The 23,892-nt window shown below is 42.3% G+C and overlaps 1 protein-coding gene across 3 annotated transcripts in view, besides 1 other annotated feature; it reads left to right on the top strand.

Annotated features, from left to right (window-relative positions):
* Positions 4,211 to 23,892, top strand: part of ADAM23 (ADAM metallopeptidase domain 23) — a 177,596-nt gene continuing 157,914 nt past the window's right edge. For all 3 annotated transcript variants that reach the window (NM_001410985.1, NM_003812.4, XM_005246932.4), the window contains exons 1-2: positions 4,211 to 4,759; positions 5,986 to 6,203. In NM_001410985.1, the coding sequence (NP_001397914.1) occupies positions 4,546 to 4,759; positions 5,986 to 6,203 (432 nt within the window). In that variant the 5' untranslated portion in view covers positions 4,211 to 4,545. The remainder of the gene's footprint in view (positions 4,760 to 5,985; positions 6,204 to 23,892) is intronic.
* Positions 4,656 to 4,785: a silencer, noted in NCBI's record as "silent region_12269". NCBI's record gives its function as "represses an Ori minimal core promoter by ATAC-STARR-seq in GM12878 lymphoblastoid cells {active_cell/tissue: GM12878}" and the evidence as "EXISTENCE:reporter gene assay evidence [ECO:0000049][PMID:35858748]".

Genomic DNA, 23,892 nt, shown 5'->3' on the forward strand with positions numbered 1-23,892 from the left:
ATCTGAGAATTGGCTTCAAAAGGAGAAATACTTCTTTCCTAAGGGATCCCTTCAAATGATGAACATCTTTTGAGAATTTAGTGACTACTTACTGATTAAACAACTATCTAAATTACAATGGAGAGCAATCTTTTCTAGAATTAGAGCCCTCTATATTGTGGCACACGCTTCCTTCGCTTTTTCTGCTTATATGCACAGGACATAATACAGTTGATGAAAAAAATTTAACCTTACATATATATATATTTAAGGTGTATATATATAGTATATATTATAAGGTATATATATTTAAGGTAAATATATATATATATATATATATATATAGAGAGAGAGAGAGAGAGAGAGAGAGAGAGAGAGAGATTTAAAAATGGCTAGCTGACAAACCAGGTCCTGTAGGCTGCATGGTTTTCACATTCTTAGAGGTTTGTAAAGAAAAAAAAATGCAGCAGAGACCATATGGCCCACAAAACCCAAAATGTTTATTATCTGGCCTTGTACAGAAAATGTTTGCTGACTCCTGAACCACGTGGCAAGTACCAATAACGAAGCACACTCGCTTTTTACTTTCATGAAGAAATGCATTGTCTTTTCTCCTTTGAAGTATCCACTTCCGCTGGTAAAATCAGTCTTCACAGCTATTCTAAAAGGAGGCTGAGAAACCTTCTCTAGCTGGCTCTGTAACACAGGCTGTCCCAGCGAGCTCCTGGGTATAAGCTGCTCTTGAGCCAGAGCTGCTGTTTGAGGCTTGTTCATGCTCTTGCTTTCACTCCCTAGATCTCTCTTAGTATCAGCACCATCCACTAATTTGCTGCACACCTTCTTTGACCTTGACTTTTTGGGCAAATGCTTATTCCATTCCAATTGCTCTTGTAAGTCTGCTTTGCTACCTTCCCCTGCTTTTTTACTTATTTTACCCTCTGGACCTCTCTTCTGTCATCCCCTTCTTCTACTTTCTCCCCTAGCATCTCAGCCCTCTTGAGGCCAAGGCCTGCTACATCTAATATTTCTATTTCTGTCCTTTGCTTGCTCCTGTCCAGACCCAGTCTTCTCACTGGTTGCAAAGTGGGTCCAGTTCTACCACTGGAAACAGATTTTGGCAAATAGAGACCTTCTGATCTCCTCCCTCACCAGACCAATGGACCATTTTTGTGAACAGTATGACGACCCTTCCTGGGTATTGCTCACATGCACCCCTCATGGTGCTTACCTAGGGTCCATATTGCCTGGTGTAATTTCCTTCCCATGGACCTTCTGGCCACCTGCCTTCACCTACGACTGCAGCATTTCTCCATGTCTGCCACTGTGACTAGATCACTCCAGTGATCCTCTGATGGCCTTAGGATCCAACACACATTGGTAACCAGGGCCATTATAGCACTCAAGCTTCTGGTATATTTCTTTATTCCAGTCCATCTTGCTGAATCCCTCTGTTTCCTACCTGTGAGTGCCCCTCTATGAATGCTGATTTGATTCCAGGTACTATACTAGGCTGTGGAGTCAGAGATGACCAAGATACAGCCTTGCTCTCAGTATTTTTTGATGGAAGAATGATGATATGCACATACACGAATACAGAGCAAAGCAGTAGGTGGCAAGTGATTAAGCAAGTCACTAAATCTTATGAAAGCACAGAGGGGAATATTTAGAAGTAAACTCTATAAAAATAAAAATTCTGAACTACCTAATAAGAATATTACTAACTCTACCAAGTTGACCAATTAAATTATTTAATCAGTTAATATTTGATTCTGTTTTTAACCTTCCCTTAAATATATGGCTTAAAGACTAAACTTCCAGTAAATTTTTTCTAAGTAATGTACTCTTTCTCTGACTCATTATTTCATTTATTGATATCTTATTTTGACTCTAGCAATGTCTGTAACCATTAAAGTTCTGTAAATAAATGCAGTCTTTTGACTATAGTACATAAGACAACATCCCTCTTTGTAAATACCCCAACCCCTTATTAGAAACTATATTGAGGCCAGGTGCGGTGGATCACGCCTGTAATCCCAGCACTTTGGGAAGCTGAGGTGGGTGGATCACCTGAGGTCAGGAGTTTGAGAACAGCCTGGCCAACATGGTGAAACCCCGTCTCTACTAAAACTACAAAAATTAGCCGGGTGTAGTGGCACGTGCCTGTAATCCCAGCTAATCCCAGCTACTTGGGAGGCTGAGGCAGGAGAATCGCTTGAACCTGGGAGGCAGAGGTTGCAGTGAGCTGAGATCGCACTACTGCATTCCAGCCTGGGTGACACAGCAAGACACCATCTCAAAAAAAAAAAAAAAAAAAGAAAAAAAGAAACTATATTGAATCCTCATTCCATACCCCAAGTGCATGAAATGATGTGTTGTAACTGGTGGGTGGGTTTGGTCAGTCCAGGTTGGCTGATAGGTTTATTTATCAGAACAGACTTTAAGAGGTTGTCACTGAATTGCAAGAGATGCCTTTCAAGTAACTTGCATCTGGGTGCTTTGCACCTTTCATTTCCCTCTCCCTTCTCATTGCTTGTACATCTCCTTTCTGGCTTGCTTTCTCTCAGGCCCTTTTTCAGGATGCATATTGTGTCAAATATAAATTTGGAAAACCTAGCCAGAGAATACTTGACTTGAGGGAGACAACCCTAAGAACATTGACCTGCAGTGGGCACTCCGGTGGGGCTAGAGTGTTCACTAGCCTGCCCCAAGTGTGACTTCTGCTTGTGTGTATCACCCATTTCTTTATTCATTTAGTACATATTTTCCAAGCGATTTCTCTGTGCCTCAGACACTGTGTGAGGTCCTAGGGACACAATGGTGTGCAGAAGGGAAAACTGTTGTTGCCCTCACATGGGGGAGGTAGCAACAATTACAAATTTACAGGAATAAATATGTGATAATAATATCCTAGCTCAACATAGAAAGGAAGTTATCTCAGTATTTACCTAACAGTTTTGTAATGTGTGTGTGCGCGCGCGTATATGTCTTCTTCTTTTCTCTTTGTTAAGTGTGAGTGGAGAAGATGATGGCTAACACTGAGTTCTGTCATGGCCATGGCACTTTTATACCCACATTCTTTCTTTTAATCATGGAATTCTCCACCCCAGCCCTCACCCCGTGGATGTCGGAGTAAGACAACATTGTTATCACTCAGATTGTCATTGGGAGGGTGAATAAATGAATGCTTGCATTATGAGAGTTTGGGGGCAGAAATATGCCACAGACTCTTATCTGAAGCCATCAGATTTAGTGGCTGCGAACCCACCGAAGTCAGGGATTTACATTTTTTACAGCAACGAGAGAAAACTTCCCCTTTCCTCTGCAGAAGTCAGGACTGGATCTCAAAAATAGAAATGTGTCCTCCTAAATGTGTGCCCATCCCCGTGGTTGACAAACAACGGATTTCCCAAGATAGCTGCCACACACTTGGTTTCTAATCTCTGTATTGCTTCCCCGCCAGAATGTCGAAGTCCTTCCCGAATATGCCCAGTCATACTTTCTGAACTTTTGAGCAAACACCGTCCGGCTTCTTGTGCTTTCCTCAAAGACCCCAGGCACCGGCAGGGAGGACACAGGCCGGGGCAGAGCGCCCCTGCGCGGGGGATTCCTGCCACTCCGCGCCAGCCTGCGGCGCAAACGCTCTTCTCAGCCGCAGTCCCACCCGCTGCTGGCAATCTGAATGAGGAGCCGCGCTATTTTTACCTCCCCGGCTGCAATCCTTTATATTTACATGCAGGAAGCAAATATATAAGGGATTAAGAAGGAGATGCGTGGCCTTAGTTTATCCAGAGCAGGAAGAGGTTGGAATAGGAGAGGGTATGTGAAGTCTGGGGTGGTGGAAAAGGCAGGTGGACTTCGGCTGGTTGTTTTCTCCCGATCATCCCTGTCTCTGGCCTGGAAACCCCCGTACTCTCTTTCTTCTGGCTTATCCGTGACTGCCGGCTCCCCCTCCACCGCCCCCATCTTTTGAGGTACCACCCGTCACCTCCGATGCTGCTTGGGCTGCTGCATCACTCTGCTGCTTTACCCCCTTCCCCGCCCCCCAACAAAGCATGCGCAGTGCGTTCCGGGCCAGGCAACAGCAGCAGCACAGCATCCAGCAACAGCATCAGCACCCGAAGCCCCGCTCGGGCGCGCTCTCGGGGGGCGGGGCGCACGCCCGCTCCGCGCGTCCCCGCGCCGCTCGCTCCCGCGCGTCCCCGCGCCGCTCGCTCCCGCGCGCCGCCTCAGCATCCTCAGGCCCGGCGGCAGCCCCCGCAGTCGCTGAAGCGGCCGCGCCCGCCGGGGGAGGGAGTAGCCGCTGGGGAGGCTCCAAGTTGGCGGAGCGGCGAGGACCCCTGGACTCCTCTGCGTCCCGCCCCGGGAGTGGCTGCGAGGCTAGGCGAGCCGGGAAAGGGGGCGCCGCCCAGCCCCGAGCCCCGCGCCCCGTGCCCCGAGCCCGGAGCCCCCTGCCCGCCGCGGCACCATGCGCGCCGAGCCGGCGTGACCGGCTCCGCCCGCGGCCGCCCCGCAGCTAGCCCGGCGCTCTCGCCGGCCACACGGAGCGGCGCCCGGGAGCTATGAGCCATGAAGCCGCCCGGCAGCAGCTCGCGGCAGCCGCCCCTGGCGGGCTGCAGCCTTGCCGGCGCTTCCTGCGGCCCCCAACGCGGCCCCGCCGGCTCGGTGCCTGCCAGCGCCCCGGCCCGCACGCCGCCCTGCCGCCTGCTTCTCGTCCTTCTCCTGCTGCCTCCGCTCGCCGCCTCGTCCCGGCCCCGCGCCTGGGGGGCTGCTGCGCCCAGCGGTGGGTATGGCCCCGTGCCCTTTGCGTTGGCTTTCCCGCGGGGCCCTGCAGAGGAAAGCGAAGGGCGCGCGGGTCCGTGTGCTCCGGGCTTGTCCCCGGCTCGGCCTTTCCTTCCCTCCCTGCCTGTCTTTCCACCCTTCTCGTTCCCAAACCCCCATTCATCCCAGTTCACTTTTGGAAGTCCATTTCTGTTGCATTCGCGAAAAACCCATTCCAATTCTTGTTGGTTCCACTGGGAGGTGTTTAGTGGATCCTGGGTCCCTCAGCGATCTCTGTGCAACTTGCGGAGGGGCAACCAGTGGATGGGAAATACAGCGAGGGAGCAAGTTGCTACTTGCGTGGTGGAACCTTAATGTGAATGCGGGGAGGATGTAGTGATAATAGTGGTAATGGGCTGTTTCCTCAAATTTCGTATCCGGCGCATTCAGTGCGGTTGGAATTAAGGTGGGGGAGGCACACTTCGGGGACCAAAGAATTAAGGTGCTGAAGACATACTTCATGCACGACCTTTGGTTCTGATTTCTCAAAGTGCTTGTCATTATAATGAACAATTAATATAATACCATCTTCTATATATTGATGATTGGAAGTCACTGAAAGCAGAAAGCTGGCTTTGTCAGGAAAATAAAAAGAAATTGGGAAGCTGCCAGCATCTGTATCCCTACATGGCAAAGTATGTTTGCTCATCTTAAAGTTAAAAGAGAAGGGAATTGTCCATTTTGTTAAAAGAGTCGATTAATATTCGGTATCCATAAATTCAGTACTCAAGTTATCTTAGGAGCGTTCTTAGCTCTTGGATGGGATGCCACTAGGCAGAGTAGAGTTGTGCTTCTGTGGACTCAGAGAAGGGGTGGAGATCGGGGGCAGGACCCCTGAACATGTTCATTTAATGACTCTTCTTCCCTCAAGTTCATTCTACCCCCCCCCCAACACTTAGAAGTATAGATTTGAGTCTGACTAGAAATGTATATATAAGACATAAATCAAAATAAATAGTGCACAGTTGTATAAGCCTTATTGGCTATTTATTAACTTCTCCAGGCCATTTTATTGTTGAAATAACTTGCTTTACTCTAGCTCTACTTCTTAACTGCTTATAAATAGAAAACTTTGTGTTTGAAATTAAAGGAAAAATGCATTTTAGTGCTTATGTATTTATGGGGTAAATATGTGTGTGTTTGTGTATGTTTGTATTTTCTGCTCCCCCACCCCCCTACCTCCACCAGCTCCGCATTGGAATGAAACTGCAGAAAAAAATTTGGGAGTCCTGGCAGATGAAGACAATACATTGCAACAGAATAGCAGCAGTAATATCAGTTACAGCAATGCAATGCAGAAAGAAATCACACTGCCTTCAAGACTCATATATTACATCAACCAAGACTCGGAAAGCCCTTATCACGTTCTTGACACAAAGGCAAGACACCAGCAAAAACATAATAAGGTAGGCAGGAGGCTGGCTATGCAAAAGTAACTATCATGAAGAGTTTTCCTTTGATTTGATTTTCTGCCAGAATCTGAGTTCACAAATTTTACTGCAGCATTTTATTAAGAAAGCAATTAATATTATGATAGGGGAGAAACTGGAAGGAATTAACTTGGGATCTACTGGGATAAGACTGTTGTTTCTCTTCTCTGACTAAACTGGAACTAGAATTTTCTGATACCTGAAATGATATCCATGTATCTTTCAGGTACATTGGGCACTGAACAGTAGTTAAGTGAATGTGTTTATGATTCTAACTTGTTTCTGTGAGGCTTTATGTAAGGGTGCAGTATTCTGCCTTGATATAAAACTGTCTCCCATGATATAAAAACTGCTTTCAATCTGCACATGCAAGATTGCTTCAAGAAGCTATTTGGCTGCAGTGTCTCCATCAGTCTTTCCACTTAGAAATTGAGTGTTTAAACAGTCTGTTTCTTTAATTGATCAGTAGGAGGAAAAAAAAATTTTCTGTTGTATTTTCAATAGGTAAACAATTTGACATTTAAAAAGATTATGGTGACTAGACACAAATTATTTGCATAATATGAAGACCAATTTTGATTGGCATAATTCTTCAGTACCTACTCTGCATTGATTATGAGCAGTTGCTTTACTTTCAGGTTAGTTCAGAAAGTGGAACTGATATTTACCAAGGTATCAGTAGAAGACAAATGTTTAATATCCAAAGAGTTTAAGGGATCTTTTTCCCTGTGTTACTATTCTTTACTTGAATTAATATTATTTTGAACCCCGAGCAGATTTAAACAATGGATTATCGGTTCTTCTGTTGTTTATCGGGAGCAGAAAATAGAGTCTGTATGTTAAATGTTTCATTTTGATCTGTACTTGTTCAGGTGAGAACAACAGTTAGCAATTAACTGTCTAAACATCTAGAATTTAAGAAAGTATCTGCAGTTTACATCATTGTTTTTTATTAGTTTTCTAAAATATAGGTGAGTGGTAACAGTATTTATCCCCATTTTACAAATGGGGAGCTAGAAATTTAAGGCTTTTGGGTGATTTTCCTATGTTGTAAAGCAGCTAATATAAAATTCAGGTGACCTGAATGTTTAATTTTTACTATTTTTTACAAGTTAGGTCTCTGAGAAAGTGCTTTCTTCACCTTGAATATTACTGGAGAGGTGAACTTTCTTTCACATTATTTTGAAGTGGCTGCTACCCACCGTGAGATAAATGTGTCTCTGTTCTCAGCCAGCCCTTTTCTCCATAAGCTCCTATATAACTTAATGGGGTGACTAATAGGTCATGTCTAACTCATTTGTCTTATTGATAGGAGAAATGGGTGTTGTCTTTAAAGAAGAGAAATCCAAGGCCCTTTTGATAAAATGCATTGAGGCTTTTATAGCTTTCCTTATGAATGAGACCTTTTAGAGTTAAGTGGTTAGTTCTCAAACTCCAGCACCTTTGCTTAGGATGCTGGAGGAAGGAAAAACAGCTGCCTCAAAGCCTGTTTCAAAGAATGCTCAAGCCCTCCTCAGCAGAGACTTGAAATTTCAGTGGCACTTTTTAATAACTCAGATGTTTGAGGCTATGACTAATGCTTGCCTTATAGTTTAACCTTATGTGGCTGTTTTCTTTGGTGGGACGTGGTTTGACTGTAATATACCTGACTTCCGTGATAATAAGGTTTGTTAAACCTGTACCCACCGCTTACCTAGAGGAATAGTTGGGTTTCTTTTATACTGTACTTTGAAAAGAATGTTTCTACAGAAATCGTATTTGAAAGCATTTTTCTTATTAGTTTAACTCTATAAACATTTGTTGCACCTTTCTCATATGCAAGCGGTATGCTAAGTATTCAAAGATAAGAGATAAAGGTTAAAAGGATGAAAAGACATGATCTATCCTCCAGGAGGCAGGAAAATGAGATAAGCAAGATTCTAAAAGTGCTCCCGTACAGGTATAGACAGTGTTGTTGTTTGGTGGGTGCCTTGAAATTACCCTTTGTGTTCTGTGACCTCCCTTTTACTTCTGTTTTTAAGCATCTCTTGAAGTAGTTGATAAAAAGTGTTCCATCTGCTTTCTGCTGTATCTTAGGATGACTTGCTTAATAACAGTGATGAGAGACACTTGCCAGTTCTGCTGCTTTAGAAATGTTTCAGTAAGAAAGTATAGAATTTCATTTCTGCTTTTATGTAAAGAAGTTTTTAATATCTGTGTTATGTACCTTTTTTTCCCTCTCCTGATTTCATTGCACTGAAGCACATTTTAATGAAAGCCTTAGAAATGCTGAATCACTGTGCCTTTCTCATGGATCCCTAGACTGGGGGTAGAGGTGGAAATGGAAATTCCCAAATATAGGTTGCAAGGCCAAGCTCCACATTTATGTCTGAAGAAATTTCGTAAATGTTCAATGTTGATCAATCTTTATTACTTTATAGCTGTGAAAGTTAACATGTTTATTAACTCTTCCAGAATTGGTGAGTGTAAAAGCAGATTGTGCAAACCACCTCTTTGCATCCTAATGTTTCTGAATGCCTTAATGTTTCTTTGTCAAACAATGTTGAAAAATCTTTTTTATCTGCATAGAGTGATGTATAACCAGTTGTCCAAACTGTGCCATTTTTTAAAGTAGAAGTGGGCACTCCTAATAATTATGCCAGGTTAGTAGGCATAAACCAAGGTAGTCTAGAGCAGGCAGGGAGTTTTGACACCTTGGATCCAAATGCTGTATTCCTTGATTTTTGGTGCTTACTCAAATTCAAGATTCTTTAAAGACAATTTTATTTTCTGATGATTTATTATAAATTCTTTCTTGCTAGCTAGGAAGTCAGATTCCTGCCGTGTAGCAGTATTAGGGTCTGAAATGGAAAAATTTAATTTTGCTTTGTGTGATATTGTGAAATGTATTTGGTAATTATCCTGTTTCCTGGTACACAGCTTCGAAGACCGTTGGAATCTCCAGAGTGATGAGTGTCTTTCATATGCCAATGAGATGATGGGTGGCTGGGGGTCCCTAAATAGCTTCAGGATGGGAGCTGGTCACCAGAAAGACCAGCACATTATTAGAGGTTTGGGATTTGCACCCCACAACCCCAAAGAGAGAGGCAGAAGGTTGAGTTGATCACCAATAGCCAGTGATTTAATCAGTCATGCCTATGTAAGGAAGCATCCATAAACACCCAAAAGACTGGGTTCTGGAAACTTTTGGATAGCTGAACATGTGGAACTTCCTGGAGGGTGGAGTTCCTGGGGAGGGCATTGAAGATCCTCGCCCTATGTGTCTCTTCCATCTGGCTCTTCATCTGTATTCTTTGTAATATCTGTTATGTAAATGGTAAGTGTAAGTAAAGTATTTCCTGAGTTCTGTGAACCGCTCTAGCAAATTAATTTAAGGGAATTGTGGCTACCCTAGTTTATAGCTGATCTGTCAGGAGCACAGGCCTCCATCTGGGGCTTGAGATTGGCATCTGAAGTGGGCATTTGTAGGCTTGTGGGACTAGGCCTTCAACCAGTGGATCTGACGCTGTCTCCAGGCTAAGAGTGTCAGAATTGAATTGGAGGACATCGAGGTGGTATGTGATGGAGAATCTGCAGAATTACTTGGTGTGTGGGGAAAACCCTCCCATACGTCAGATGTCAGAAGTGTTGGGTTAAGTGTTGTGTGAGACTAGAGAAGGAAAAAACATTGCTTTTTTCTTATATCTCTTACTTTGTTATCAAGATCGATCGTTTTCACTTGTGGAGACTTTTATGGGCGTAAATGGAATTGTATGATTACTAAATATAAGCATTTTATTAACCATTAATGCAATATATTAATAAAATGGACCATACATTTTAAAAGCAGGAGAAACACTTTAGATTCATTCATTCATTCTGAGATAATCCTATGTGGTCTGTTCCTAGGAGAGTTAAGGAAGCTTTTCCTGAAACTTTAGTCAAAAACTACTTGTCCTGCTGGGCGTGGTGGCTCATGCCTGTAATCCCAGCACTCTGGGAGGCTGAGGCGGTTGGATCACCTGAGGTCAGGAGTTTGAGACCAGCCTGGTCAATATGGTGAAACCCCATCTCTACTAAAAAAATACAAAAATTAGCCGGGCGCAGTGGTGCGCACCTGTAATCCCAGCTACTCGGGAGACTGAGGCATGAGAATCGCTTGATCCCGGGAGGCGGAGGTTGCGGTGAGCGTCACTGCAGTCCACCCTGGGCCACAGAATGAGACTCTGTCTCAAAAAACAAACAAACAAAAAACCCCCCTAAAAAACTACTTGTCCTATATCATGCTCCCTTAGGATTCTCGTCTCTTCTGGTTGGGAAGGGATTGTGGAGATGCACGATGCATAGCACCGGACCTTGGGGAAAGCTGACTTTAGTTGACCTGTGTGGCTCAGTCTTTTGCTTTCTCTACTACCTACCACCCCAGGTTGAAGAGAGAAGAGAGAGAAGTTTAAGTGAATTTAGATCTTGGTGATTATTTTTGTTTCCTTCTCTATTTTAGGATAGGACTGGTTCCACATTTCTTGACTTTCCAGAAACCAGTTGTTCCATTGTTGTTGGTATGGGACAACAGAAAGAGGAACATAGGATGAAGACTCCCACCTGTCTCTGCCATGAGATGTTAGCACACGTTTTTACAATTCTGGAACATAAATTTTTATGACCTTTATTATAAGGAATTAATTTTAAAAATCAATAGAAAGTTTTATACTGTGGAACATGGGGAAAAGATTTCCCTTCTGGAAGTTTCTTTAGCAAGCCTAGACTTTATCTAAAGAGCTGCCTTTATCTAAACAGCCTTCCCAAGTTTTCCAGGTCTTCCTAAGCAGTCATTACAAAATTGTAATATATAGAATTCAGGCTTGTAATGATTTTACTTGTAATGCTTGGCATGTAGTAGGCCTTCTGTGGAATGAATTGATGATTGAACACTTATATGTTAGAGTATAGGGGTTCCCATGGAATTCATGTTATAATCAAACTAAAATTCAAAAGGACCCTCAAAATACTCAAGTATTTTTGGCACTGTGCTCCTCACTGCTACTGAGGAGAGATAATTTTGGTCTTGAGTTTTTAGCACTGCATAAGTCACACTAACTATATGCTTACACTACCTAAAGTAGCAAAAATGCCTGTATCAACAATTCTTAGATAATGTCTCTCACTGCTACCCATCATTAATGTGATTGTGATAATCAAGAGCTGGTAGTTTTTGTTATTTTTATGGTGGAGCAAGATGTGTCTTTCTACTCAAATAGTTTCCAGTAAATCAGATTTACACATAGTAGGTGTTCAGTTTTGTTTGATTCAGCAGACATTTATTGAATACTTCTTTTGAATCAGGCGCTGTGCTAGACTCTGGGGAAAACGAAGAAGACTAACACTTTGTCCCTACCTTTGCTCACTGGTGGAGTGTCAGAATCAAGGTAGCCGCTGATGTGTGGTTTATGTTAGTGCAGTTACTAGTGGAAGGAACAGAAGGCTGTAGGCATCCAAAGGAGAGAATAACCGTTGCCTAGGGAAGTCAAAGAAAACCTCATAGAGGAAGAAGCAATTGAGCTGGCCCTAAAGAGTAATTAGGAGTTAAGTTTGTGCAGAAGGTGGAGAAAGGAAGAGCCACAGAATCGGCAGAGGAGAGGCTCCAGGTGCAAAGGCCTGACTTGCTTGGGTAGTAGCAGGTTATTTGGGTGGTGAGTGCAAGAAGGGGAAACTCAAGTGTAGGAAACTTCAAAGACAGAGTCTCACTCTGTTGCCCAGGCTGTAGTGCAATGGCACGACCTTGGCTCACTGCAGTCTCTGCCTCTCGGGTTCAAGCAGTTCTCCCACTTCAGCCTCCCATGTAGCTAGGACTACAGGTGTGTGCCACCACACCCAGGTAATTTTTGCGTTTCCAGTAGAGATGGGGTTTCACCATGTTGGCCAGGTTGGTCTTGAACTCCTGACCTCAGGTGATCCGCCCACTTTGGCCTCCCAAAGTTCTGGGATTACAGGCATAAACCACTGTGCCTGGCCTAGTGTAACATTTGTAATCAATTTTTAAATATCCTACTTAGTTCCTCTAAGAACCCAGTGACATAGGCATTTATAGACATAGCAGTTGAGATTTATAGTTAGTATCTTCAGTAAGGACAAATAGCTAGTAAATGGCAGAGAGAGCCAGGATTTGAATCCAGGTCTTCCCTTTGCAGAGCTCATGCTGAAGAGAGGTAGGGTGTATTGGGAGTGGCAGGAAGTGAAGGTGGAAGGTTGTGAAGACTGTGAAGACACAAGGGGGTCTGGATTTATTCTATATCAAACTGTAAGTCCTAGGAAGTCAAGAGATGAGCGCATATTGATTGAGCATAGATGAGTGCCAATTATGTGGCTCCCCAGCGAGCTTTACTTCTAGTAGGAAGAGACAGACCATAAACATGTCCAGAGCAGCAATGACAACCACATGAAGATTTTAGGTATTGACACGTGCTTGCAGAAGATAAAAAGGCATAATATGGTAGAGAGTGGTGGGTGTGATGATTTCTCTTGAAGAATCAGAAGATTGGGCTTACGGCCCTGGATGGGAGTAATTCACCTAGGGAGTAACCCACCTACAGGTAAGATGTGGCTCCTCTTTAGATAGGATGACACATGCTGTTTACTGCAGTGCCCTCATTCTTTGTTGCTAACACTAACCCTTCTGCATTTCTGGTCCCTTTGGGCATTTGAGTTTGGATCCTTGTCTTTGATTATTCTCTTCCATAAAGTCTAGACCATTTTTGGACATTTCATCCTGGTTTGGTCCAACTGCTAACTGTGCTTTCCAGCAGCCTACAGCTGAGCTGTGCTGTTGAAAGTCTTGCTTCAGCATGTGTCCCTAAATAATGCTTTCTGCTCACGGGTTGACTCATTCCTGCTAACTATGTAACTATTAGTGTCATTCTGTCTTCACTTATTCTCAGGCTTTGTTAGCAGGGTGGACCACTGTCCTTCTCTTTACAGTTGGTGAAAAAATAACCCAGGAGGCCAGGTGCAGTGGCTCACACCTGTCATCCAGGCATTTTGGGAGGCTGAGGTGGGAGGATCACTTAAGGCTAGGAGTTTGAGAGCAACTCAGGCAAGCTAGCCAGAACCTGTGTCTACAATAAGTTAAAAAAATTAAAAAGAAAAAATAACCCAGGAGCATTTGCCCAATGGTGATGCCCTGTGTGAAGGTAAATCATGCAGGAAGAGAGCTCTCCTTCCTGCCTTCCTCATCTTTCTCAGCCATGCCCCTCAGTTTTCCCAGCTATCTAAGAGTGAACCTTGGGAGTCATCTTTGACTCCTCCCTCTCCTGCCTATAAATAGTCGCTGATTAAGTCTTGACGTGTCTCCCATGACTCCATCCCTCCCCTCTTCTCTGCATTGTGTTCTTGTCATCGCCTCTGGTCTCTCTCTCTGTCAATCCATCAGTCCCACTGCTGACAGATTAATCTTTATGGAACACTTATTTCATCATGTGACTCCCTTTATCCACATTCAGCAAGCATAATTTCAGCTAGATGAATTTTCCTCTTGGAGCCAGGGAGAGGATGTAAAAGTCTCTTGAGAAGAACTGCTGCTTTCCTTCTTACACCACACATTTGCTGTTCCCTTCTCCTTTCAGCACTTTTCCAGGCCTGTTTACCCAAAGGTCAGTCCATAGCAGGTTATAATTTTGGATGATTCTATTCATTTCTGTCCAAACCCTGGGGCTAGTTATAGAAAACCCCTGTGACCAGTGGCAAGAACCGAATCTATCAGGAATGTGTTCTTAGACTTTCAAGTCCAAATTCTGTTAAATTCCTGCTTCAGAACATCATGTCATCTCCATCTTTAAGATCTGAATAATTAATTGCTTGTAGAATATCAGTTTTCTAAATGAAAATATTTTATTCCTTTCAAGAATGTATACAATTATAAGGCTTTATTCATACAAAGTATTCAGTTCACAATTGATATGGGCACCCTTTAACCTTATGAAAGACTCATTCATTCATATAATTCATTCATTCAGAATCTACTGAGTGAATTTTCAATTTTACAAGGGAGTCTTTGTATTTAGAATTTGTATGAATTCAGTATGATTTTAATTAAATTTAATGGTAGAAATGCTATTATAAAAAGGCTAGATCCAGTTATGTTTTACTCAGAATAATGAGAAATTAAAAACAATCATGTTAATTCATGGCCAGTTTGAATAAAACTTTTGCTTTCTATAAGTGACATGAGAGGTTCATTCTCCATCACAGGGCACCCCAGCCTGGGACAGATGTGAACCTGTGAATTAGCACAATGTTTCAAATAAAGTTTTGTTATATGGGTGTCCTGTATGGCTAAAGAATATAGAGAGGCTAATTTCCTCATCTGGAACATTACACATTGATAAATTCAAGCCATGTGTATTGTGAAAGATGTTTGTTACCAAGATCTACCTTAAGATCTAAGTGTTCTCTAAGCCTTTTATTTGGAAATGAAAAGGATGGAAATTCAAACAAGTCTTCTCTGCTGATAGGCACTAATTACAGAGTAGTTAAGTTCAAACAAACCAGTGAACCAAAGTGTAAATAGAACCTTTGTATTAGTCCATTCTCACACTGCTATAAAGAACTACCTGAGACTGGGTAATTTATGAAGAAAAGAGGTTTAATTAACACATAGTTCCACAGGTCGTACTGGAAGCATGGCTAGGAGGTCTCAGGAAACTTAAAGTCTTGGTGGAAGGTGAAGGGGAAGCAAGCAAGTCTTACCATGGCATAGCAGGAAAGAGAGAGAGAGAGAAGTGCCATACACTTTTAAACCATCAGCCCTCGTGAGAACTCACTGTCATGAGAACAGCATGGGGCAGTCTGTCCCCATGATCCAGTCACCTCCCACCAGGTCCCTACCCCAACACTAAGGATTACAATTCAACATGAGATTTGGGTGGGGACACAGAACCAAACCATAACATTCCACCCTAGCCCATCCCAAATCTCCTGTTCTTCTCACATTTCAAAACCAATCATACCTTCCAACAGTTCCCCCAAAGTCTTAACTCATTCCAGTGTTAACTGAAAAGTTCAAGTCCAGAGTCTCATCTGAGACAAGGCAAGTCCCTTCTACCTGTGAGTCTGTAAAATAAAAAACAAGTTAGTTACTTCCAAGATACAGTGAGGGTAGAGGCAGTGGGTAAATGCTCCCATTCCAAAAGGGATACATTGGCCAAAATAAAGGGGCTACAGGCTCCATGCAAGTCCGAAACCTAGCAGGACAGTCACTAAATCTTAAAGCTCTGAAATAATTGCCTTTCTCACATCAGGGCACACTGATGCAGGGGATGGGCTGCCACAGCCTTGGGCATCTCTGCCTTTATAGCTCTGCAGGGTACAGCCTCTGTGGCTGCTTTCATGGGCTGGCATTGAGTGCCCGTGGCCTTTCTAGGTGCATGGTGCAAGCTGTTGATGGATCTACCATTCTGAGGTCTAGAGGGCAGTAACTCTCTTCTCACAGCTCCAATAGGCAGTGCCCCAGTGGGGACTGTGTATGGAAGCTCCAACCAAACATTTCCCCTCTGCACTGCCCTCATAGAGGTTCTCCATGGGGGCTCTGCCCCTGCAGCAGATTTCTGCCTGGATAGCCAGGTGTTTCGTACATCCTCTGAAATCTAGGCAGAAGTTCTCAAGCCTTGACTTTTACCTTCTGCATACATGTGGGCCCAATACCACGTGGAAGCCACCAAGGCTTGAGGCTTGGACCCACTGAAATAAGAGCTTGAGCTGTACCTTGGCTCTTTCTAGCCATGGCTAGAGCTGGAGTAGATGGATGCAGGGTACCATGTCCTGAGGCTGCACAGAGCAATGGGGCCCAGGTCTGGCCCAAGAAACCATTTTTCCCTTCTAGGCCTCTGGACCTATGATGGGAGGGGCTGCCATGAAGGTCTCTGAAATGCCTTGGAGGCATTTTCATTCACCTCCTCTTAGGCAAGCTTCTGCAGCAGGCTTGAATTTCTCCTGAGAAAATGGGTTTGTGTTTTCTGCCACATGGTCAGGCTGCAAATTTTCCAAACGTTTATGCTCTGCTTCTCTTTTAAATATAAGTTCCAGTTTCAGCCCATCTCTTCATTCACGCATATGGGCACATACTTTTAGAAGCAGCCAGGTCACATCTTGAATGCTTTGCTGCTTTGAAATTTCTTCCACAAGATACCCTAAATCATCTCTCAATTTCAGTGTTCCACAGATCTCTGGAGCAGGGCACAGTGCCTCCAGACTCTTTGCTAAAGCATAGCAAGAGTGATCTTTACTCCAGTTCCCAATAAGTTCCTCATTTCCATTTCAGATCACCTCAGCCTGGACTTTGCTGTCCATATCACTATCAGCATTTTGGTTAAAATCATTCGAGAGGTCTGTATGAAGTTCCAGACTTTCCCACATTTTCCTGTCTTCTTCTGAGCCCTCCAAACTGTTCCAACCTCCGCCTGTTACCCAGTTCCAAAGGCGCTTCCACATTTTCCGGTTTCTTTATAACAATGTTCCACTCCTGGTACCAATTTTCTGTATTAGTTCGTTCTCACACTGCTATAAAGAACTACCTGAGACTAGGTAATTTATGAAGAAAAGAAGTTTAATTGACTCACAGTTCCGTAAGCTATACAGGAAGTATGACTGGGAGGTCTTAGGAAACTTATCATGGCAGAAGGCAAAGGGGAAGCATGCACACCTTACCATGGTGGAGCAGGAGAGAGAGAGCAAGCAAGGGGGGAAGTGCCACACACTTAAACCATCAGCTCTCATGAGAACTCACTCACTCTCATGAGAACAGCATGAGGGAAATCCACCCCCGAGATCCAATCACCTCCCACCAGGACCCTCCTCTAAAACTGGGGATTACAATTCAACATGAGATTTGCGTAGGGACATAGAGCCAAATCATATCAACCCTGGACTGGTGACTATGAGAGCAGGATGTGGGAAATCCGTCCCCATGATCCAGTCACTTCCCACCAGGTCCCTCCCTCAACACTGGAGATTACAATTCAACATGATATTTGCATGCAGGCACAGAGCCAATCATGTAAACCTTGGACCAGTGACTATGTTGCTCTTGAGCTTTGATCTGTAATTATATAGCTGGGCACACTCACTTTTGCTTATCTGCATGACAGTGAGGGAGTCATCCTGCCACATTAAAAAAAAAATCTTAGATGGTAGTGAGAACAAGGTAGTCACGTATTCCTGGACCACTTCTTTTTGCCCTCAGTGGGGCTAAAGATTAAATTTAGAAGTAGTCAAATCCAAGCACAGCTAGAGACATCATAAAGAACATTCCAGAGTCATGGAGATAGAGGTTTTTGAGTATCTGTTGAATTCCAGTGCCTGTTTTAGAACCTCCTTTCCCTTAGTGTGGTTATTTAATAATTTACTGCATCAAGTTGTAGTCTGAATCACTTAGTCGGGTGCTTTGTGCTGTCTTTTAATTGTAAGCAGGCCTGCTAATACCATATACTATAATAGCTGTATTGCAGATGGGCTCCATTAACAATGTGAATCAATCAATGCTTAAGAGAGTCCTCTCTCCCCATGTTTATCCTTGCTTTTTATGTTTTCAGGTAAGTAGAATGCATGAAATCAACTTTAGCTCAACTCTCCAATGCATTGGTAATAAATATAATATATTGCCTTTCTATGGAACCTGAATGGTTTTATTGAGGCACTTTCATATCTATAATCTCACATGGTCCTTGCAGCATAACTGCCAAGATGATTATTATTTCTGTGTTCTGGATGAGGAAATGCAACCAGAGAATGAGTCAAAAGCCCAAACAAGTCAGGTCAGTTTGCTAGAGGTCTTAAGAATTATTAGCGTGACCAAAACGACCAGGACTGTGGTTTATAGACTTCCAGTCTCTTGTTTCTTTTTTCACACATCTGTGGGTTGAATAGGGAAGTTTCTGTCCTTTGTAGACAGCTTTCTTCTTGATGATAAAGACCTGTGAACTAACTGCAGCTGAACTATATGCATGTGTACACACCTCACTTGGCCTTCCTCTATGACCAGCTGGTTTTCTCATCTTTTTTTTTCCTTCCCTAAATGAGTACTCCAGATAAATAACCTTGTTTAAACTACTAGCATTTTTAGAATATTTTGCTTATCTGCTTACCTTTCCTTCTTTAATTTTCACTTTCCTCTAGCAGTTTTTCCTTCTTTCTTGTATATGGAACAAAGTGGTTATGTTTGGTGTTTCCAAATAATATGTCAGACATTCGTACCATTCTAGAAGTAGATTTTCTTTTTGTTTTGAAAAATATTTTCTAATACAGAAGTATGCTGCTTGAAGAAGTAGGTCTTCAAAATAAACTGAATTTAATTATAACTGGTTAATATACCCTTTATTTTTTACTAATTAAGGAAATGATATACACCAAATTTAAACTTTTTGTCAGCATGTGAAATGCAGTATAGCCAGTGTTTCTACACTGACATCATATTTTGGTGCAAAGCAAGGAAATTGGCATTTTAACGATCCAGTGTAGCCATTTATTTGCAGGATAAATATGATTGTGCTGCTAGGCTGTATAGAATGTCAGAAATTCCTTTGACTTCTCTCTTCTGGAGGAAGAATGGTTGGAGGTCAAGTTTCTGGAGGTCTGACAGATCAGCTGTTACCAACTATCTGGAACTGGACAAGTTACTTAGCCCCTCTAAGCCCCAGCTTCCTTATCAATCGCACAGTGCCTGGCATACAGGAGGTACATGGGAAATGTTACCAATTAATGACTGACCAGAGGCTTAGGGAATCCAAGTTGTGAACTGCTCTTTCATGAATAATGTATTTCTTTCATTAAAAAAGAAAGGAGATTTAAGGGTAATTGTGAGACAGTTGTGGCGAGGGGTGATTCTCAGGGTCTTTCTGGTTGTATGGCTGCAGATGAGCTTGATTGGTCTACCTCAGACGTAAGTGAACACCTAAGAAGGAGAGACTACATTGGGATGCACATGATGTCTCAGAGGCTGCAAGCCCTGGACCACATTGAGGCAGTTGTACTGTAGGGGTGTAAAGAAGTTTTCCATAAACCTTTGCCTATAATCAGGGCACTCTAAGTCAGGCTTGGATATTAGGCATTTTAGTGGGTTGTCAAGGTGAACCATTTGCTTCTTGGAGCTAATTGTCAGGATGGGTATGGTATGGCCCCAAATACTCATACTATAAATAGCACACGTTCAGATGATAATTTCCCCAAGATGTATTCCAATTAGACATCCACCCACCTCCTCTCTTTTCCCCAACTCACCAAACGAAACCAAACCTAAGAAATACTTTCATCTGCCTTTGGTAGTTTTCTGGCTTTGGAATGAAATGGAACAATTATAAAACCATGACAAATAGAATAGGACATAGACCTCCCAACCCAGAAGAAATTTAACAGGGTAGAAATATCAGACATAAATTCTGTTTTTATTTGGACACTAGGACAATTGAATATGTTATGACAAGGAGATAAGATTTTGGTTTTTGCGTCTTAACAGTCTTAACCAAGAAGAGTTAATACACTGATTCCCCTCTTCTTATAAATTATGGCTAAAATTATGAGAGTTAGTAAACTTGGTAATTACTGTGGACAGCCCTGTGTAATGTAATGGAGTTTCATCTCTGCAGAACGTTTAGACTGTAGTTAGAAGCATTTATCACCGTTGGGCTGCATAAGTACTGTCACTTGTTCCCTTCAGAACCAGTGTGATACTGAGATGATGCCGTCTTATTACTTTTGGCTTTGCAGTGGTTTGTTAAACAGTTTTTGGAAATGGTTAATTATTATTCTTTACCCTTCTGATTAACTATAACTATATCCTTATTTATTCTTTTATTTGGGATGTTAATCCTTTTAAGACCTACTAATGCATTTTAGGATTGTTACCCAAATAGTATATTTATGAATTATCTTGTCTGCCATCAGATCTTAAATTTGTTTTTCCATTTAGTTTTTCAGAGTTCTTGGACTTCCCTTATATTTTCACACCGTAATGTGTTAAACATTTATTAACTTACTTGTATGAAACACTTGTTTGTGATGTAATCGTTTGAGAATCTTTGTTCTTTCACAGAAAGCATAATCTCTTCCTTGATACACAGACCTACATATCCAACTATTTAACCTATATCTCCACTTGGATGTCTTATAGGCAACTCAAGCTTAACATACCCAAAATGGAACTCTTGATTGTACTATCATCTACCCTAGCCCGTCCCTCCCAAATCCTTCCCATCTGGTTAAATGGAACATCACCTTCCAGTTGCTTAGGCCAAAAACCTTTTGCCTTCTCTTCCTCTCAAGCATCATGCCAAGCCATCAAGTTTTGTGTTCCCTTAAAAAACTATCCAGAGATCCAGCCACTTCTTCTTTGCTGCCAACCTGGTCTAACCCACTATCTCTCACATGCACCATTAGAGTATCTTCTTCTCTTCTCCCTGATTTTGTCCCTCTCCTATCACTCTGGTTCTCCTCTGTTTCACACATATCAGGCAGAATGATCCTTTTTAAATTCTGATTGGATCATTTCACTCTTGGCTCAACCTCCAGGGATTTCCCATCTACTCAGAATGACTTTTTTTTTTTTTTTCCCACCTCCAATCATAATGTGGTCACTGAAGAAAATTAGGCTACTGTTAGTTGTTATAGTTGGTTGGCAGGAAGTGCTCTTTATGTTTGTGTATTTAAACACATGCCCTAGAAAAACTAATGAGATATAAAAAGTTGGGCGCTTATAATTCTATTTTTAATTTTTGGAGGAACCTCCATAGCATTTTCCATGATGGTTGCACCATTTTATAATCTCACTGATGGTGCACAAGGGTTCCAATTCTCCACATCCTTACCAGCACTGGTTATTTTCTGTTATTTATTTTTTAAAAAATATTAGCCACTCTAATGAGTATGAAGTGGTATCTTTGTGGTTTGGTTGCATTTCCCTAATGATTAGTGATGTTGAACATCTTTTCATGTGTTTATTGGCCATTTTTACATTTTATTTGGAGAAGTATCTTTCAATTCTTCGCTCATTTTCTAATCTAGTTGTTTGTGTTTTTTTTGGTTGTTGCTGCTGAGTTGTAGGAGTTCTTTATGTACTCTGGATATCAATCCCTTACCAGATACATGATTTACAAATATTTTCTCCCATTCTATGGGTTGGCTTTTCATTCTGTGGATAGAGTCCTTTGATGCACAAAAGTTTTAAATTTTGATGCAGTCCGATTTATCTGTTATTTATTTTGTTGCCTGTGCATTTGGTGTTATATTCAAGAAATCATTGCCAAATCCTATGTTATGAAGGTTTTCCCCTCTGTTTCCTGCTGAGTTTAGTCACTTTAGCTCTTATGTTTAGGACTTAGGTCCATTTTGAGTTAATTTTTAAATGGTGTAGGTTAGGAACCAACTTTATTTTAATTTTTTGCATGTGGATGTCTAGTTTTCACAACACCATTTGTTGAAAAGACCATCCTTTCCCTTGTGAATGTTTTCCCATTTGTTTGTGTCTTTAATTTCTTTCATTCTTTTTCTTCTTCTTTTTTTTTTTTTTTTTGAGATGGAGTCTCCCTCTGTTGCCCAGGCTGGAGTGCAGTGGAGTGATCTTGGCTCACTGCAACATCGCCTCCTCGGTTTAAGTGATTCTCCTGCCTCAACCTCCTGAGTAGCTGGGATGACAGGCCCCCACCACCACACCTGGCTAATTTTTGTATTTTTAGAAGAGATGGGGTTTCACCATGTTGGTCAGGCTGGTCTTGAACTCCTGACCTCAAGTGACCCACCTGCCTTGGCCTCCCGAAGTGCGTGATTACAGGCGTGACCCATCGCGTCTGGCTTGAAGTAGTTTCCTTCTATCTGTTTTTGCATATTTTATCTCATAAGTTTCTTTAAAAGGGAGACCAGACTATGAGTAGAATAATTGACTGGCTGTGCAATAGATAGCCAGTTTTGGGTAAGACACTTATATCTAGATTTAAATTTCCTAATTTTAAAAATAAGGAGGTTGGGTTAGATTTGGGAATCTCAAACTTTAGTGTGAGTTGGAACCACTTGGGGAAGTTGTTGAAAAGATTTTGAGTTTGTAGGTCTGTATGGGGTCTGGTGGTTTGCATTTTTATAAGTCTCAGGTGATTTTGATCTGGATGCGTTTGTTCTCTAGAATCCCTTATGGCTCTAAAATTCTTTGAAATATCCTCCAGTAAAAGGCATTTGGGTATTTATTAGAGGACATGAAATGAGGGTATGGGCCATTGAATTAGGGATTGTTTGTTATTCCAAATCATGGTTGCATTTGTGGACAAGCTGCCTCCTGAGATTTGGGCATGTTAGATGGAGAGTAGGAATTATGAAGTGAGGACATTTATTGCTTGAAAATGAAAAGAGTAGCTGCCTTCAGGAGTGGCTGGTGTGAGATGATTCAGGGACAAAAGAGCTTTTGCAAAATAGAAGCAGAGGAGAGGGGCTAAGGAACAGTGGTCAGCAGAGAGGCTGTTGGGGGGATCACACTGCCTCGATTTATCACTAGGAAGTCCAGAAAGTCCTGATTTGCCGCCAGGAAGTCCAGAAACAGACAGTCTCTGGTCTGGGAATTCTAAACAGGAGTGCTGGGAGCCTAGAGCAAAGGAATGTTACTGGAGGTGAAAAACTGATGACCAATTTGCATACACATGCACACTTACACCTGTAAAGTTAGTATAAATATGTCATATAAAATTGGTGGTTACTCTGGTATATTTACTTACATGGTCTAAGAATTCAGAGTTCATAAAAATATAATATGAAAAGTGAAAATTTCTCTCCCAGCACGCCCCAAAGGCTGTTACATTTCTGTTTTTAGTTCTCACAACGTTAAATAATTTATCTCTACCCTATTTTTAGATCCTTCAACCTAAGTACTATCTTTTGTCTGCCTGCTCTGAAAGGCAAAGACTGTATCACACTATGGTGTTCTTCCCCTTTTCGCCCTACCACTTCGATTTTTCTTCCTTACTTATTTTGAATTTGCTGTGGTCATTTTACATTTGAAAAGGACTTGGAGCAGCGGGACTTAGGGTTAGAATTCTGTGTTCAGTTGTTGTCTTCTGCCCCTGGGGAGAAAAGTAAACTTGGAGACTCAGCAAGAACAGCTGGAACCCAAGTACCCCCATTTAAGGATTTGCCGGGAGCTCCTGCTTGGCATACAAAGCCTCAGAAGGTTGATGGTGAGGGATGGAGAGACATTTTGTGAAGGAAAAATTGCATATTTCCTGCTCTGTTATTTTTTTTTAAAGTTAAGAAGGGGCCAGAGGAGGAAGAGTCTATACAGATTTTGTTGTGGTTTCATCAGGAAGCCACTGATGGGTTTTAAACAAGGAAATAACATTACCTGATTTATATTTTAATAAGATCATTATGGCAGCTCTCTGGAAGACGGACTGGATGGGGCAAGAGTGGCTGCAGGGATACCAGTTGGGAGGGGTTTACATTTGTCCAGGCAGTGATGGTGTGGACTGCACTGGGTGATGAGCAGAGGAATTGCAGGGATGCAAGTAGATTTGGGATACATTTTGGATTATTGTAGGCTAGAAGAGGAGAGGAGTTATAGTAGACAGATTCCCCTAAAGATGTCCACATCCTAATCTCCAACACCTGTGAATATGTTCTCTTGCATGGCAGAAGACACTTTGTAGATATGACTAAATTGAGGCTA

The sequence above is a fragment of the Homo sapiens genome, chromosome 2, assembly GCF_000001405.40.
Source record: "Homo sapiens chromosome 2, GRCh38.p14 Primary Assembly".
NCBI lineage: Eukaryota > Metazoa > Chordata > Mammalia > Primates > Hominidae > Homo > Homo sapiens.